A 13,573-nucleotide genomic window follows, 5' to 3' on the forward strand; every position below is an offset into this window, starting at 1 on the left:
GAGATCATGCCACTGCACTCCAGCCTGGGTGACAAGAGTGACACTGTGTCTCAAAAAAAAAAAAATTATATTGGTCAGGTGTGGTGGCTCACGTCTGTAATCCCAGCACTTTGGGAGGCCAAGGCAGGAGGATCACTTAAGGCCAGGAGTTCGAGACCAATCTGGGCAACAAAGAGAGACCCCTCCCCAACCCCATTTCTACAAAATTAAAAATTAGCTGAGCACGGTGGCTTGTGCCTGTAGTCCTGGCTACATTCAATAATTACTAAGAATATTCTAGGCTAGGGTTTTTCAGAGTGTGGTGCATGGCAATCTGTGTCAGAATTCCTTCAGGTGCTTCCTACTGAATTAGAAGCTCCAGGGCCCGGAAATCCGCATTTTAAACTAGCTCCGTAGGCGATTTGGATTCACACTAAAGACTGAGGACCACACTGTTCTAGGCACTGTTAGGTGCTGGGACCTAACACGAAACAAGGTAGACGTGGTTCCTGATTTCCCAGTATGCTCATATAGGGGTTGGTCGCATTAGTGATATGGGTGCTAGAATGGAAGAAGTAAGATCACATAGCAGGTGCGCCTAGTTCAGACTGAGGAGGGATCTGCAGCTCTAGAGACGTCTGTACTTCAGAGAAATACAGGAGCTGTCAGCTCGTGGAGGCGAAGGGCAGCCGTGGCCGTGAACAAAATGGCCAGGAGGAGGGCATCGTGTGTGAAGCGGGCTAAGGACCGAATTGTGAAAGACCCCAAACCACCCAGCCTTCCATCCCCCAAGATATCCGTCTTTGCCTTCGCTGGCCTTCCTCTGCGGAGCTACGCCCGCGCCCAGGGTGGCGGAGCCGCGCATCAACACCCTCTCGCCTCGGGACAGTCTTCCGACTCAGCCTTCTAGAGCAAGGCGAGGCGGGGCGGGGCTCAACCGAGGCCCTCCCCGGCTGCCCGGAGACTGCGCCGGACGCGCCAGCCCTGCGGGATGACGTCAGCGCGCCGCGCGCGCCGAGGGAGGAGCGGGCGCCGGGGGCCGGCTGGCGCGGGGGCTCCGGTAACCCGGGCTGGGCGGGGGAGAGGAAGGGGCGGGGCAGGGAGCCCGCCAGAGTGCGGGGTCGCGGTGCGGACTTCGAGCACGAGCCCTAAAGACGCTCAGCACTCGTCGCTTCTCCTAGCAGACCCTGCCCGGCTTGGCGATGGAGTTTCCGGACCTCGGCGCTCACTGTTCGGAGCCGAGCTGTCAGCGCTTGGGTGAGGGGCGGAGCGCGCGGGGGGCGGGGCCCAGCGGACAGGGACTTTGAACCGCAGGTTGGGAGGGAAGGGTGGGCTCCCAGGCTGGCAATGCCGGGGGGCGGGGCTTGAAGCTGGGGGGGGGTGGTCAGCGGCAGAGGGGGCGTGGCCAAGGAGGTAATGGGCTTGGGAAGGGGCGGTGTGTCGAAAATAGGGTGGCGTTTTCCTTCCCGAGTGGAAGACTTGAGTGAGAGAGAAGGACATCGAGGTCCCGCTGGACCTGCAATCCGACCAACTCTTTGCAGATTTTCTGCCGCTTAAGTGTGATGCCTGCTCAGGCATCTTCTGCGCAGACCATGTGGCCTACGCCCAGCATCACTGTGGATCTGCTTACCAAAAGGTGAGGGGGCGATCCTCAGGGTGAAAGCAGGCAGATGGAGAATGCGTGCAGAATCCCCCAAATCTGTGTCTCACGTTTCTTCTCCCTTTTGTCCTTCTGAGGCTGTCAGTGCTGGGAAACACTGTTTTTTTGCGTGTTTGTGGTGGGTCATATCCAAGTTCTTTCAGGACCAGAGATTTGTTGGACTGGAGTGGGCCACAGACTGACCCTTGCTCCTTGACTACAGGATATCCAGGTACCTGTGTGCCCTCTCTGTAATGTGCCTGTGCCTGTGGCCAGAGGGGAGCCCCCTGACCGTGCTGTGGGAGAGCACATTGACAGAGACTGTCGCTCTGATCCAGCACAGCAAAAACGTAAGGTAAACATTGTAGGGGTCAGCCACAACCCAGCTGGGACTACGGATGCCTGGAAACCCAAACAGCTAATCAGAGTCTCAGCAGAGACAACCTTCTCACTTCACCTCAGATCTTCACCAATAAGTGTGAACGCGCTGGCTGCCGGCAGCGAGAAATGATGAAACTGACCTGTGAACGCTGTAGCCGAAACTTCTGCATCAAGCACCGGCATCCACTGGACCATGATTGCTCTGGGGAGGGGCACCCAACCAGCCGGGCAGGGTAATGGCAGCCAAGTCCTCCACTTGCTTTTGGGAAGCATTCTTTTGGAACTGACTCAAGCTCTGTTGTTATAAATTGGGGAGCTTCAACCCTACCCTGTCGGCTAGGGGAGTCTTTTAGCTTCCTTTTCAAGTGCATGTTTTTCCAGAACTCCCCTCCTGACTTCCTGGGTAAGGCTAGTTCTTGGAGACATGCCAAAAATCTCTCTTCCCTACAGACTTGCTGCCATCTCCAGAGCACAAGCTGTGGCTTCTACAAGCACTGTCCCCAGCCCAAGTCAAACCATGCCTTCCTGTACCTCTCCCAGCAGGTAGGCCTGCCCGTTTCCCTGCTCCCCCTTTTTCCCCTTCACACCTCTGACCTCCACCTCTTCAATGTCTGTCGTAGAGCCACAACCCGATCTCCGTCCTGGACAGCCCCTCCAGTGATTGCTTTGCAGAATGGCCTGGTGAGTTGGGCAGAGGTTGGATGGACAGAAACAAACACACAGAGAGTGAAGTCCAAGGACGCTGGTCTTCTTTCTCCCTTTGTAGAGTGAGGATGAAGCTCTGCAGCGGGCCCTGGAAATGTCCCTGGCAGAAACCAAACCCCAGGTTCCAAGGTACCTTACCCTCTTGTGAAAGAGAGCGCAAGCTGTGGGCAAGGGCTTGGTCTGGAGGCAGGTAGGTGGGACCACTCTGACACAATGCAAGATAATCGCTGGCAACTTGGTCTCAAAATTAAGATGAACTATATGATCTTTGACAAGTTATTTAACCCATGGAGCCTTCATTTCCTCTATAAAACGGGGACAATACTAATACCCACCTTGTAGTGTTGCTATGAAGATTGAGATAATCCTCAGCAGTGCTCAGCACCATGAGGCCCAACACACACAGATCAGATGTTCAAATTTCAGATCTTACCATCATCCAACTTAAACTGTTTCTCCCTCCCAGTTGTCAGGAGGAAGAAGACCTAGCTTTAGCACAAGCACTGTCAGCCAGTGAGGCAGAATACCAGCGGCAGCAGGTATGAGGCTGGGCTGAAGATATATGCTGCAGTGGAAGGGAGGAAGAAGTCAGGGATGGGGGTTCTTCCTAGTGGTGCAGAGTTTTGGAATGGTGGTTATCGTCTGGTTTTCAGTATGACTCCAGCCCATGCTGAGCTCTGAAATGAGGGCTGTCCCTCATTTCCTTGACGTTGCACTGTGTCTTCCCCTCCTTCCCCTCTCTTTGCTCTAGGCCCAGAGCCGCAGCTCGAAGCCGTCCAACTGCAGCCTGTGCTAGGGCCCTGGGCTTGGGGAGGGAGGTTCACCTGAGGAGGACTGTGGCCCTCACACCTCTAGGGTACACAGGGAGAGGAGGCCCGGAGCACCCTGGAGGGCAGAGACAAGCGGGAGTGATGTGGAGGTCGCCCTGGGAGCCTCTGGAAGGCCTTGCTAGTGCTCCAGCTGCATGGAAGAGAGCGGCTAGCAACTGTTCCCTGGTTGGGCCCTCAGTGGATGCTGGCCAGGCCCTACTCTTAGCCCCTTCATCATGTCATCTCCCTTATGCTGGAGCTGCCCCGATGTGGAGTGGGCAGGAAGGGGCCTGGAAAAAATAAAGGATCTTGGCAGTTGATAAAACGTACAAGTGGTGTGTTTCTCTCTCCTCTCTAACCTCAAACAGGAAAGCCGTGTCAAGAATGCTCATCTGACTTATGGGTAGAGGCCCGCTGCAGTACCCCATCCCACAAAGCCACAGTGATCCTCGCACAGTCCACATTTTTATTTCCCCAAAAGATGTTTTTCGGAAAGGTCCCTTTCCCTTACCATAGCTAGCACCATACCCCAAGACCAGGATGAAATAAGCCAGGGAAAGGAGACACATCTTATTCCCTTCTGGGTTAGTCTTTGAGAGGGAAGTGGCCAAACTTTTGTCACCGTTCCATGGTCTGAGGCTTAGTGTCTTCAGAGGTTTCTTCCTGTCCCTGCTGCAGCTGCCACATGTCAGCATACACCCCACCTCGGGACAACAGAGCCTCGTGTCTGGGGTGAGGAGAAAAGTGTGAGTCCTAACCATTAGTTTTACCCCGAGGGTCCTTGCCACCAGCCCACAGAGAGGACGGGATGGGAAGGGAGGTCCCCTCCAGAAGCCCCTGGGACTTCATGCCCCCTTTCCTGGAGCCCCCAATTCAGAAGACCTGTCCTTTTGATCTATGTGTCTCTTACCGTCCCCTCTCCACGATGCAGCCATCCTTGATGACGAGGATCTGGTCAGCATTGACCACAGTTGAGAGCCTGAGAAGTCAAAGATCAGTCGCCTACTACCCCACCCAAAGCGGGCCACATCACCAGCCGCCCCAGGCCTGTAGTCCTGTACCTGTGTGCCACTACGATGGTGGTGCGGTTGGCACAGACTTTGGCCAGAGAAGCCTGGATGGCCCTCTCATTAGATGTATCCAGCGCTGACGTTGCCTATAGAGAGGGTCCAGGTAAAACTGCTCCTGCCACTCAAAACCCTCAATGGAAGGAGGCAGGCTGCTGGCTGAGGCCTCAAGAATACACAAGAGCCTTGTTTGGGCTTGAGAACTGGAAAGTGTGTTTTGTGAGATTTGAATTCATGGTATCTGTTCTAGGTGGGGACAGTGCCCAGGAGGAACGGCTTGAGCATACACAAGGCAGGAAGGAGGGGAGGAGACCCAGGGCGCACCTCATCCAGCAGAATGATGCCCGGAGCCTTGAGGATGGTGCGGGCAATGGCGACGCGCTGCTTCTCCCCGCCGCTCAGCTTCAGTCCCCGCTCGCCCACCTGTGTCCTGTACCCTGTGGATATTACCCACCACACGTTTCTTACGAAACGGAGGGAACAGGGGTCAGGGATTAGCAGGACAACACCAGGAGGGGAGGGGACTCTCTGCAAAGGAATCTCTCACCTTCAGGGAAAGCCATAATGGCATCATGGATGCCTGCAGCCTGAGCAGCAGCCTCCACCTCATCATTCCCAGCTGTGACACGGCCGTAACGGATATTGTCGGCGATGGTGTCATTAAAGAGGACAGTGTCTTGGGGCACAACTCCAATGTGAGACCGGAGAGAGGCCTGGGTCACCTAGGGCCAAAAGACCACACACTCTGCCTTATGAGATACCCCCAAGGCCTGGGAGGCAGGGTGGGCTGGCCGGAAGCACGTGGGATAAGAGGCTGTGGTAATAATCCCACCATCACTGCCCCATATCCTAGCCGTGTGGGCAAATCACTCCTCTCTGTTTCCCCATCTTCTCTTCCTGCTTCACCAGATTGCTGCAGATGTTTTGTTTTGTTTTTGGATAGAGTCCACTCTGTCACCCAGGCTGGACTGCAGTGGCAAAATCTCGGCTTACTGCAGCCTTGACCTCCTGGCTCATGCAATCCTCCTACCTCAGCTTCCTGAGTAGCTGAGACCACAGGTGCTTGAGACTACGTCAAGCTAATTTTTAATTTTTTGTTGAGATGGGGTTGCCAGGTATGTTGCCCAGGCTGGTCTCAAAATCCTGGACTCAAATGATCCTGCTGCCTTGACCTCCTAAAGTGTTGGGATTACAGGTGTGAGCCACCACACCTGGCTACAGAATATCGTTGTACCTTTTTTTTTTTTTTTTTTTTGTTTTGCTTTTTGTTTTGAGACAGGGCCTTGCTCTGTCACCCAGGCTGGAGTGCAGTGGCATGATCATAGCTCACTACAGCCTCCTGGTGGGACTACATGTGTGTGCCACCATGGCCAGCTAATTTTTTTTTTTTTTTTTGAGACAGAGTCTTGCACTCTTGCCCAGGCTGGAGTGCAGTGGCGCCATCTCGGCTCACTGCAAGCTCCGCCTCCTGGGTTCACACCATTCTCCTGCCTCAGCTTCCCGAGTAGCTGGGACTACAGGCGCCCGCCACCACGCCCAGCAAATTTTTTGTATTTTTCGTAGAGACGGGGTTTCACTGTGTTAGCCAGGATGGTCTCGATCTCCTGACCTTGTGATCCGCCCACCTCAGCCTCCCAAAGTACTGGGATTACAGGTGTGAGCCACCGCGCCCAGCAATTTTTGTATTTTTTGTAGAGAGGGTGTTTTGCCATGTTGCCCAGGCTGGTCTTGAACTCCTGGGCTCAAGTGATCCACCTGCCTCGGCCTCCCAAAGTGCTGGGATTATAGGCATGAGCCACTGCGCCCAGCCCTTTGTAGCTTTTATGGCACCATACAAATCCTTAACATGACTACTTTACTTGTGTGACTGTAGGTTATATCATGCTAGAATGGCCCTAGTTTTTTTGCAAGGGTGACATCTCCTCTCTCTGGACAGCCAGCCCTTATCATTCCTCCACACGTAGACCCCTAAACCACCGTCTTCTCCAGAGCAACCCTACCTGTGAAATGTCCTGCCCATCTATTCGGATGCAGCCAGAGCTGATGTCGTAGAAGCGAAACAGCAGGCGCAAAATTGTGCTCTTCCCTGCCCCAGATGGGCCCACCTGTTGCATTGGAAATGGGAAAAATCTCAGGCCCACTGGCTTTTTTTTTGAGACCGAATCTCACTCCGTCACCCAGGCTGCAGTGCAATGGCGCGATCTCAGCTCACTAGAACCTCTGCCTCCCAGGTTCAAGCGATTCTCTTGCCTCAGCCTCCCTAGTAGTGGGATTATAGGCACCCGCCACCATGCCCGGCTAATTTTTGTATTTTTAGTAGAGATAGGGTTTCACCATGTTGGTCAGGCTGGTCTTGAACTCCTAACCTTAGGTGATCTGGCCACCTAAGCCTCCCAAAGTGCTGGGATTACAGGCATGTGCCACCGCAGCCGGCCGAGGCCCACTGGCTTTTGAGGTTCCCTCTCCAAGAGGTCACCAGTGTCCATGGAGGCTGCACCATTCAATCCGGTTGCCTATCGTGACTGGGCTCTCTGACTCCACAGCCTGGGTCACAAGCTACCATGGGCACTGAATGAGGGAAGCTTGAGGCATCTGGGCCAAGTGGCTGGGTCTCCTCTCACCAGGGCAAGTGTCTGTCCAGGCATCACAGTGAAAGACACGTCCTGCAGAGTCTCCCGCCTGCAAGGAAAGGTGGGGTTGCTCAGCAGGCACCTTCCATCACCAGAGCTGCTAGTAGGCCCTGCCCCTCCCCTGCCCAGGCTCTTTTCCAAAAGCAGGGATTCAGAGCACTGAGAAGCAGGAAGGCAGTGTGCAAATGAACGGAAAAGCAAAGGAAGCAAAAGGAAGGCCTCACCCATCGGCATAGCTGAAGTGCACGTTCTCAAACTCAATACGGCCCTTCTGAAAGCGAAGGGGCCCTGCTCCAGGAAGGTCCTTCACCTGGAAGGGCACCACCCATGTGTGCTGAGGTTCTCAGCTTTGTGTTTTCCAAGCACGAGAAACACCACACAGCTCCTCCCTCCCCAAACCCTACTCCTCTCCCTTCGCTCACTTCTGTCTCCTCTTTCAGCAAGTCAAACATGTTCTCCATGTCAATGAAGTTGGTCTGGATCATCCTGCAAAAAGGTGCTGGTTAGGACTTCTCTGAGTAGCCAGGAAATAATAATGTGCCCTGGACAGGTGAGGGCCAGGGCTCAGATTACCTGTAGTAGGTGCCAAACCAATTGAGGGGCATGTACAGCTGGATAATGTAGGTGCCAAAGAGCACATAGTCCCCAACCTGTGGCAATCAAGGAAGCAGAGCATGTCACGGGGGGCCTGCAGGCCGCTCTTCTTGTGTCACCCTGCCCACTTCCTACCGAAGAGCCTGGTGACCAGACACAGGCCTCAGGCCCCCTTTTCCTTGTGCCCCACTCTCTCATCCAAGATCCTGCCTCACCTGTAGCTTCTGCTCAGTGACAAAGTATGCGCAAAGCAGGGAGCCGGCGAGGAGCCCGAGCCCAATCACCAGGTTCTGGGTCTGATTTAGTAAAACCAGTGAAGCGCTCGACTTCCACTCCAAACCCTGAGGGCAATAACACAGGAAGAGGAATGTCCTATACACAATGGCCATCAGTGAGTCCAAACCTGGGCCCAGGCCCCTTCTACCCCAACACTCGACTATCACTCTTGGCCCTGAAAATTCTACCAGGCCAGGGCATTATTCTCCGGAGGCCTCAAACTAGCATCCTCACCTGATATTTGATGATGGCCTCTCGATAGCGTTCCACTTCGTAACTCTCGGCGTTGTAATACTTCACCTGATGAATTCAAACCAAATTTATTTGGCATGGGCACAGCACATGGCACTCGGGTCATTCCCCCCAACTCTCAATCCTCCTTCCTGAGTTCAAACATCACACACAAACATCACACCCCCAGCTCTCTGTCAGCCCCAGTGGTCCTGGTTACACTCCTCCACATCTCCACGCCTCACACCACTGCCACCGGGCCCTCTGTTACCGTCTCGAAGTTTAGCAGAGAGTCCACTGCTCGTGCCCGGGTAGCGTTCTCCTGTGTGTTCATAGCACGACGAAACTTGGTTCTCCACTCAGTGACCACAATGGTCAGGGCTGGAGAGTGACAGGATGGGGAGCAGAATAGGACATCATCCCCAAAAGCAGAGACCAAATGTCAATGTCCACTACCTGCCATGTACACACTAAGCCTATGCTCAAGCCCGGACACCCAGATTCCACAGGGAGGCACCTCTGCAGCCTGCACAAAGTCTCATGTGTAGAAAACGCTTTTGGTAAATGAAAGCAAGCTGCATCTTGTTACACAAACGAGGCTTCCTTGACCTGTGTCCACGGCTCAGACTTAACGTGACAAGAATGTCCTTCCCCAGCCCCTCAGCTAGGTTAAGGTTTGATTTGACAGAAGAGACCCGCCCATCACATGACGAGCACTAGGAGCCCATTCAAGTCCACCAATCCACAGCCTCCCATAGGTGGGTCACTTGAGTGGGGGCACAGCTCATGGCCAAGGGAGTCCCTGGATAGTTCAGGGAGACGGTGTCTCCCAGCAGCACTCACTGAGGTAAAGACTCATGCACAGGAACACAATGAGGCCAAACCAGGCGTTGAAGAACATGCTGAAGTAGATGATGCCAATGATGATGTCGGCCAGCGTGGGGATGACATTGAACACCAGGTAGCTAGGAGGGCAGGTCAAGTGAATAAGAAAGGTCTGGGGGCTTAGACCCAGCAACCCTGCCTCTAGGCATTTCAGGGTAGTGTTTTATTTTCAAGCAACAGACTGGAACCAGTCTTAATTAATTCTACCCTCAAGAGGTGGGTGGCTAAATCAACCATGCTCAAACTACAGAATTCTCTGTATCAATTACAATGAATGAGGGAGACCTTCAGGCATGGAAGAAAAATATATCTCCATAATGTTCTGTTAATAAGCAACTCTGAGAATGATGGCTATGTCACAATACCATTTGTTTTAGGAAAAACCTCCACAATGCCATATTAGTTCTGTGAGTCTGCATATATAATATGTATGTAAAAATGCAAAAAAGCAGAACCCAGCTGGGCACAATGGCTCACAACTGTAATCCCAGCACTTTGGAATGCTAGGTGGGCAGATCACATGATGCTAGGAGTTCCAGGCCAGCCTGGCCAACATGGTGAAACCCTGTTTCTACAAAAAATCTAATAATTAGCCAGGCATGCTGGTGCACATCTGTAATCCCAGCTACTCAGGAGGCTGAGGCAGGAGAATTGCTTGAACCCGGGAGGCAGAGGTTGCAGTGAGCAGAGATTATGCCACTGTACTCCAGCCTGGGTGACAGAGCGTGACCCTGTCTCAAAAAAAGAGCAGAACCCAACATACTAAACAGAGTGGGAAGCTCTGAAAAAGTAAGTGCAGCTCGAAAGAGATTTGCCCTCTGCCCGCATTACCTAAGTTATTAGGAGAGCATGTATACAATAATCCTATACTTTAAAAAACACCAAGGTGGGAGCGGCAGCTTCTCAGGCGGGGTCTGTTCTCTTCCTCCCACGGGCCCCTATCCCTGCTTCTCCGGCTCCACCCTCCCACATGCCCTTTCCACTGGGGCGGCACCTGAGCAGCCCTGTGACACTGGATGTGCCCCGATCCGCGATCCGCAGCACCTCCCCTGTGCGGCGCCCCAGGTGCCAGCGCAGTGAGAGCTCGTGCAGGTGGGAGAAGATGAGCAGCTCCACCCGCCGAGACGTGAACTGCTGCACCCGGATCCACAGGAAGGTGCGCAGGTTGCTCACGAAGCCTGCAGGGAGCCGGGGGACGCCTCAGTAGGGCCTGGGAGCTGAGGGACGTCAGCCCAGCACCAGGATGTGAAAGGTCTGAGAGTACATGGGGGCTGGGGAGGAATGCTGGGAGAGGCGGATGCTGAGGGAATGCCTGTGGGAGGGACCTATACCTAGCAGGGTGAGGGCGGAGTCTCTCATACCTGTACTGCCAGTGCCACCCCCCTGGAGGAACTTGAGGAAGACGTAACTGGTAACAGTCCAGGCCAGAGAGTTCCAAGGTGCCTTCTCAGTCAGCAAGTTCACTGTGGAGGAAACGAGTCAGAACCCACTTATGGCGCCCAGGACTCTCTTCAGGCAAAATGGCCCCAGGTACCAGCCACAGTCTCTTTCTGACCACCCAGCTCTGTCCCACCTCCCTAGGTAAGGACCATCCCAGCCACCAGGCTGATGAAGGACCAGCACACTGAGCTGGTGCTCCTCCTGCTCACCAATGTTCCTATAGAATATAGGCACCAACACATTGAGTGCCCGTTCCAAACCCATGAGCCCCAGGCAGATGAGCACCACCAGCTGCAGAGCTGGACTCCCTCGAGGCCACAGGTAGCCACTCAGGAGGCGGAGCTTCCTGCCAAAATCTCGCCAGGTAGACTGTTGGGCTGCTGACCGAACCTAGGATGGTGAAACACGTAGGAAGGGAGCTCAGAAATCAAGTAAGTGCACTAGCCAGAAACCCTTCAGGGAAAAACCTATGGGGTTACAGCTCCCAGGTATCTCAGACCCACAAGTGATCCTTGATGGGGTCAGAAAAACTAAGTTGCAAACTGAGATTTGGAAAAGAAGCATTTCATTTTGGGGGAAGGAATGATGACAGGGAATGAAATGAAGAGACTCCAGGATTCAGAAACTGAGGTGGGGTCTGGTGCAGTGGCTCATGCCTGTAATCCCAGCACTTTGGGAGTCCGAGGCAGGTGGGTCACCTGAGGTCAGGAGTTCAAGACTAGCCTGGCCAACATGGTGAAACCCCATCTCCACTAAAAATACAAAAATTAGCCGGGTACACACCTGTAATCCCAGCTACTTGGGAGGCTGAGGCACGAGAATTGTTTGAACCCAGGAGGCAGAGGGTGCAGTGAGCTGAGATCGCGCCACTACACTCCAGCCTGGGTGACGGAGCAAGATTCCGTCTTAAAAACAAAAAGAGGCCAGGCGCAGTGGCTCACGCCTGTAATCCTAGCACTTTGGGAGGCTGAGGCAGGCGGATCACGAGGTCAAGAGATCGAGACCATCCTGGCCAATGCTGTGAAACCCTGTCTCTACTAAAAATACAAAACTTAGCTGGGTGTGGTGTCATGCACCTGTAGTCCCAGCTACTCAGGAGGCTGAGGCAGGAGAATCGCTTGAACCCGGGAGGTGGAGGTTGCAGTGAGCTGAGATCACGCCACTGCACTCCAGCCTGGTGACAGAGCAAGACTCCGTCTCCAAAAAAAAAAAGAAACTGAGGTGTACCTGGCTCCTTTCCACATCTTGGTCCTCTTCATGAACCTGCAATGTATAGGACTGGGGACGAAGTCCAGGGGCCCAGAGACCCAGGACAAACAGCCCTCCAGAGACCACATACCGCAGCACCCACAGGCTAAACTGAACCTAGAATGAAATATAAGTGGAGAGAGTATCATTGAGGATAAAATTTCATTGTATTACTACTTATAATAGGGCCGGGGACTGGTGTCATGAACACATTCAGCACTTACAGGCTTAAAAAAAAAAAAAAAAGCAAAACCACAGTGACTCAGCAAAGACACACCCCACCAGCTGGCTATCAGCTCCCGGCAGGACTCAGCCCCTCCCTTCTCCCTTTGCTTAGAGGCATCCTAAAGCCTGGAAGCAGTGTGACTGGACATGCAGTGCTTTCTCCCAAGCCCGGCCAGCAGAGGCTTCCCCCTTCCCACAGAGTCCCTCACCTGCTGGCCCAAGTCTGCCCTTGCCCACCACCACTGTGGGCTGTTCCAAGACACCAGGGCCAAGTTCTCAGCTGCAAACGCCACAGTCCAGAGGAGCAGGAGACCAGGGCTGTGCCTGAACTTGATCCAGATGCCCATTGCCAGACGCTGCCGTGCCTGGCTCCGCTCCACGACAAGCAGCCACAGGCCACAGGCGCCGGCCAGACTCTCCAGCACGGAGGCCAGAAGTAGATAGCTTGGCAGTGGGGCCCCCCGGGCAGTGCCCACCCGGCCAGCCAGGCCGGCCAGGGGCAGCGCCGCCTGAAGTGTGGCCAGAAGCAGCTGCAGCACGTAGGGAGAGATGCGAGGGCCGGCCCCCCAAGACAGCGAATCAGCACCAGCGGGCCGCTCCCGGCGTCTGCAGGGAAGAGCCAGCACCAAGGCCAGAGTCCCCAGAGCCATCCGCGTCGAGGGCACGAGCGTGAAGAAGAAGCAGGGACTCAGGCCATCCTGCATCCAGGCCGGACCCACGGGCCCTTCGGCCTCGCAGTAGTTGCCCACAGTCACCATGGCAATGCGTGGACGCCGGCCGAGGCTGCGGGCACTGCGGGACCGGAGGCCGGGACTGGTCACTCGGAGAGGGGCGCGGACATCCGGGTGCCTTGGCTCACGTAGCCGCTGGGCGCCAAGCTGCGGGGGTCCCGGGAAGGGACGCACGTGGACCAGGCCTCACCGCCCACTCCCCTAGCGCACGCGCCGCCGCCACGCACTCACGCAGGGCACGTACGCCGTCTCAGCACGGCCCCGCTGGCTCTGGGCCCGGGACCCTCCTGCCAACTGCAGGCCCACGGGAATGCTCGGTGTTGGACTCGCACCGCGCTCCACGGCTGTAGCCCCGCCCACAGCCCCTACCCACGGCTCCCATTGGCCAAATGTCTCCGAGGGGGGAGCGGGGGGAATGGTGCAGGCAACGAATGCAAATTAGAGAAGCAGAGCCGGCTTGGTCACGTGCCCAGGGCGGGAAATCTGACGACCAGGCCGAGCTGGAAACCTCCACGGAATCGTGGCTCGGGGCTGGAAACAGACCTCACGGAATCCTGGCTCGGGGCAGGACACAGACCTCCACGGAACTGTGGGTCGGAAGCTGCCCTTCCGCCAGCCGCCTTGCTCAGCGTATCTGAGCGACGGCCTAAACATACTTTCTTCTAGACCCCGGCAGAGTCCCCATCCCATTTCTCTTGTTCCCAGGATTCTAGCCGCGCGAGACAACAAGAAG

At 55.0% G+C, this 13,573-nt stretch overlaps 2 protein-coding genes across 8 annotated transcripts, besides 5 other annotated features; one reads left to right on the forward strand and one right to left on the reverse strand.

Moving 5' to 3' along the window:
- Positions 568 to 817: an enhancer, noted in NCBI's record as "active region_17141". NCBI's record gives its function as "activates an Ori minimal core promoter by ATAC-STARR-seq in GM12878 lymphoblastoid cells {active_cell/tissue: GM12878}" and the evidence as "EXISTENCE:reporter gene assay evidence [ECO:0000049][PMID:35858748]".
- Positions 868 to 1,267: a silencer, noted in NCBI's record as "silent region_12347". NCBI's record gives its function as "represses an Ori minimal core promoter by ATAC-STARR-seq in GM12878 lymphoblastoid cells {active_cell/tissue: GM12878}" and the evidence as "EXISTENCE:reporter gene assay evidence [ECO:0000049][PMID:35858748]".
- ZFAND2B (zinc finger AN1-type containing 2B) lies at positions 976 to 3,842 on the forward strand. Of its 6 annotated transcripts, none has more exons than NM_001437629.1 (10): positions 976 to 1,039; positions 1,161 to 1,236; positions 1,521 to 1,615; positions 1,842 to 1,973; positions 2,081 to 2,232; positions 2,450 to 2,542; positions 2,620 to 2,680; positions 2,766 to 2,833; positions 3,171 to 3,243; positions 3,456 to 3,842. In NM_001437629.1, exons 2-10 carry the CDS (start codon positions 1,182 to 1,184, stop codon positions 3,498 to 3,500), a joined length of 774 nt encoding a protein of 257 aa, NP_001424558.1. In that variant the 5' UTR covers positions 976 to 1,039; positions 1,161 to 1,181; the 3' UTR covers positions 3,501 to 3,842. The 6 variants fall into 6 exon arrangements, with proteins under 6 accessions (NP_001424558.1, NP_001257927.1, NP_620157.1 ...); NM_001270998.2 differs by having other exon boundaries at positions 1,164 to 1,236; NM_138802.3 differs by having other exon boundaries at positions 976 to 1,236.
- Positions 1,935 to 2,434: an enhancer, noted in NCBI's record as "H3K4me1 hESC enhancer chr2:220072463-220072962 (GRCh37/hg19 assembly coordinates)". NCBI's record gives its function as "activates a minimal SCP1, AML or CMV promoter by ChIP-STARR-seq in primed H9 embryonic stem cells {active_cell/tissue: H9 hESC(primed)}" and the evidence as "EXISTENCE:reporter gene assay evidence [ECO:0000049][PMID:30033119]".
- ABCB6 (ATP binding cassette subfamily B member 6 (LAN blood group)) lies at positions 3,966 to 13,152 on the reverse strand. 2 transcript variants are annotated; one of them, NM_005689.4, is made up of 19 exons: positions 12,319 to 13,152; positions 11,864 to 12,001; positions 10,846 to 11,026; positions 10,558 to 10,659; positions 10,191 to 10,374; positions 9,155 to 9,276; positions 8,583 to 8,692; positions 8,315 to 8,380; positions 8,020 to 8,145; positions 7,784 to 7,860; positions 7,633 to 7,696; positions 7,435 to 7,520; positions 7,202 to 7,259; positions 6,581 to 6,685; positions 5,128 to 5,302; positions 4,905 to 5,017; positions 4,575 to 4,669; positions 4,424 to 4,492; positions 3,966 to 4,240 (listed from the first exon to the last, which is right to left on the reverse strand). In NM_005689.4, the coding sequence occupies exons 1-19, from the start codon at positions 12,865 to 12,867 to the stop codon at positions 4,132 to 4,134; spliced, it is 2,529 nt and encodes an 842-aa protein (NP_005680.1). In that variant the 5' UTR covers positions 12,868 to 13,152; the 3' UTR covers positions 3,966 to 4,131. The 2 variants fall into 2 exon arrangements, with proteins under 2 accessions (NP_005680.1, NP_001336757.1); NM_001349828.2 differs by lacking the exon at positions 11,864 to 12,001.
- Positions 12,369 to 13,236: an enhancer, noted in NCBI's record as "H3K27ac hESC enhancer chr2:220082897-220083764 (GRCh37/hg19 assembly coordinates)". NCBI's record gives its function as "activates a minimal SCP1, AML or CMV promoter by ChIP-STARR-seq in naive H9 embryonic stem cells {active_cell/tissue: H9 hESC(naive)}" and the evidence as "EXISTENCE:reporter gene assay evidence [ECO:0000049][PMID:30033119]".
- Positions 12,482 to 12,591: a silencer, noted in NCBI's record as "silent region_12348". NCBI's record gives its function as "represses an Ori minimal core promoter by ATAC-STARR-seq in GM12878 lymphoblastoid cells {active_cell/tissue: GM12878}" and the evidence as "EXISTENCE:reporter gene assay evidence [ECO:0000049][PMID:35858748]".

Source organism: Homo sapiens, chromosome 2, assembly GCF_000001405.40.
Source record: "Homo sapiens chromosome 2, GRCh38.p14 Primary Assembly".
Taxonomy (NCBI): Eukaryota; Metazoa; Chordata; class Mammalia; order Primates; family Hominidae; genus Homo; species Homo sapiens.

Excerpts from the sequence above, each read along its gene's own strand:
- ZFAND2B (NM_001437631.1), top strand. The coding sequence starts at position 1,182 with ATGGAGTTTCCGGACCTCGGCGCTCACTGTTCGGAGCCGAGCTGTCAG. Across the intron at positions 1,237-1,520 it reads GCCGAGCTGTCAGCGCTTGG|ATTTTCTGCCGCTTAAGTGT; the intron begins GTGAGGGGCGGA and ends AACTCTTTGCAG. Across the intron at positions 2,543-2,619 it reads TCCTGTACCTCTCCCAGCAG|AGCCACAACCCGATCTCCGT; the intron begins GTAGGCCTGCCC and ends TGTCTGTCGTAG.
- ABCB6 (NM_005689.4), bottom strand. The coding sequence starts at position 12,867 with ATGGTGACTGTGGGCAACTACTGCGAGGCCGAAGGGCCCGTGGGTCCG. Across the intron at positions 11,027-11,863 it reads AAGATGTGGAAAGGAGCCAG|GTTCGGTCAGCAGCCCAACA; the intron begins GTACACCTCAGT and ends TCACCATCCTAG. Across the intron at positions 6,686-7,201 it reads CTGGACAGACACTTGCCCTG|GTGGGCCCATCTGGGGCAGG; the intron begins GTGAGAGGAGAC and ends CCAATGCAACAG.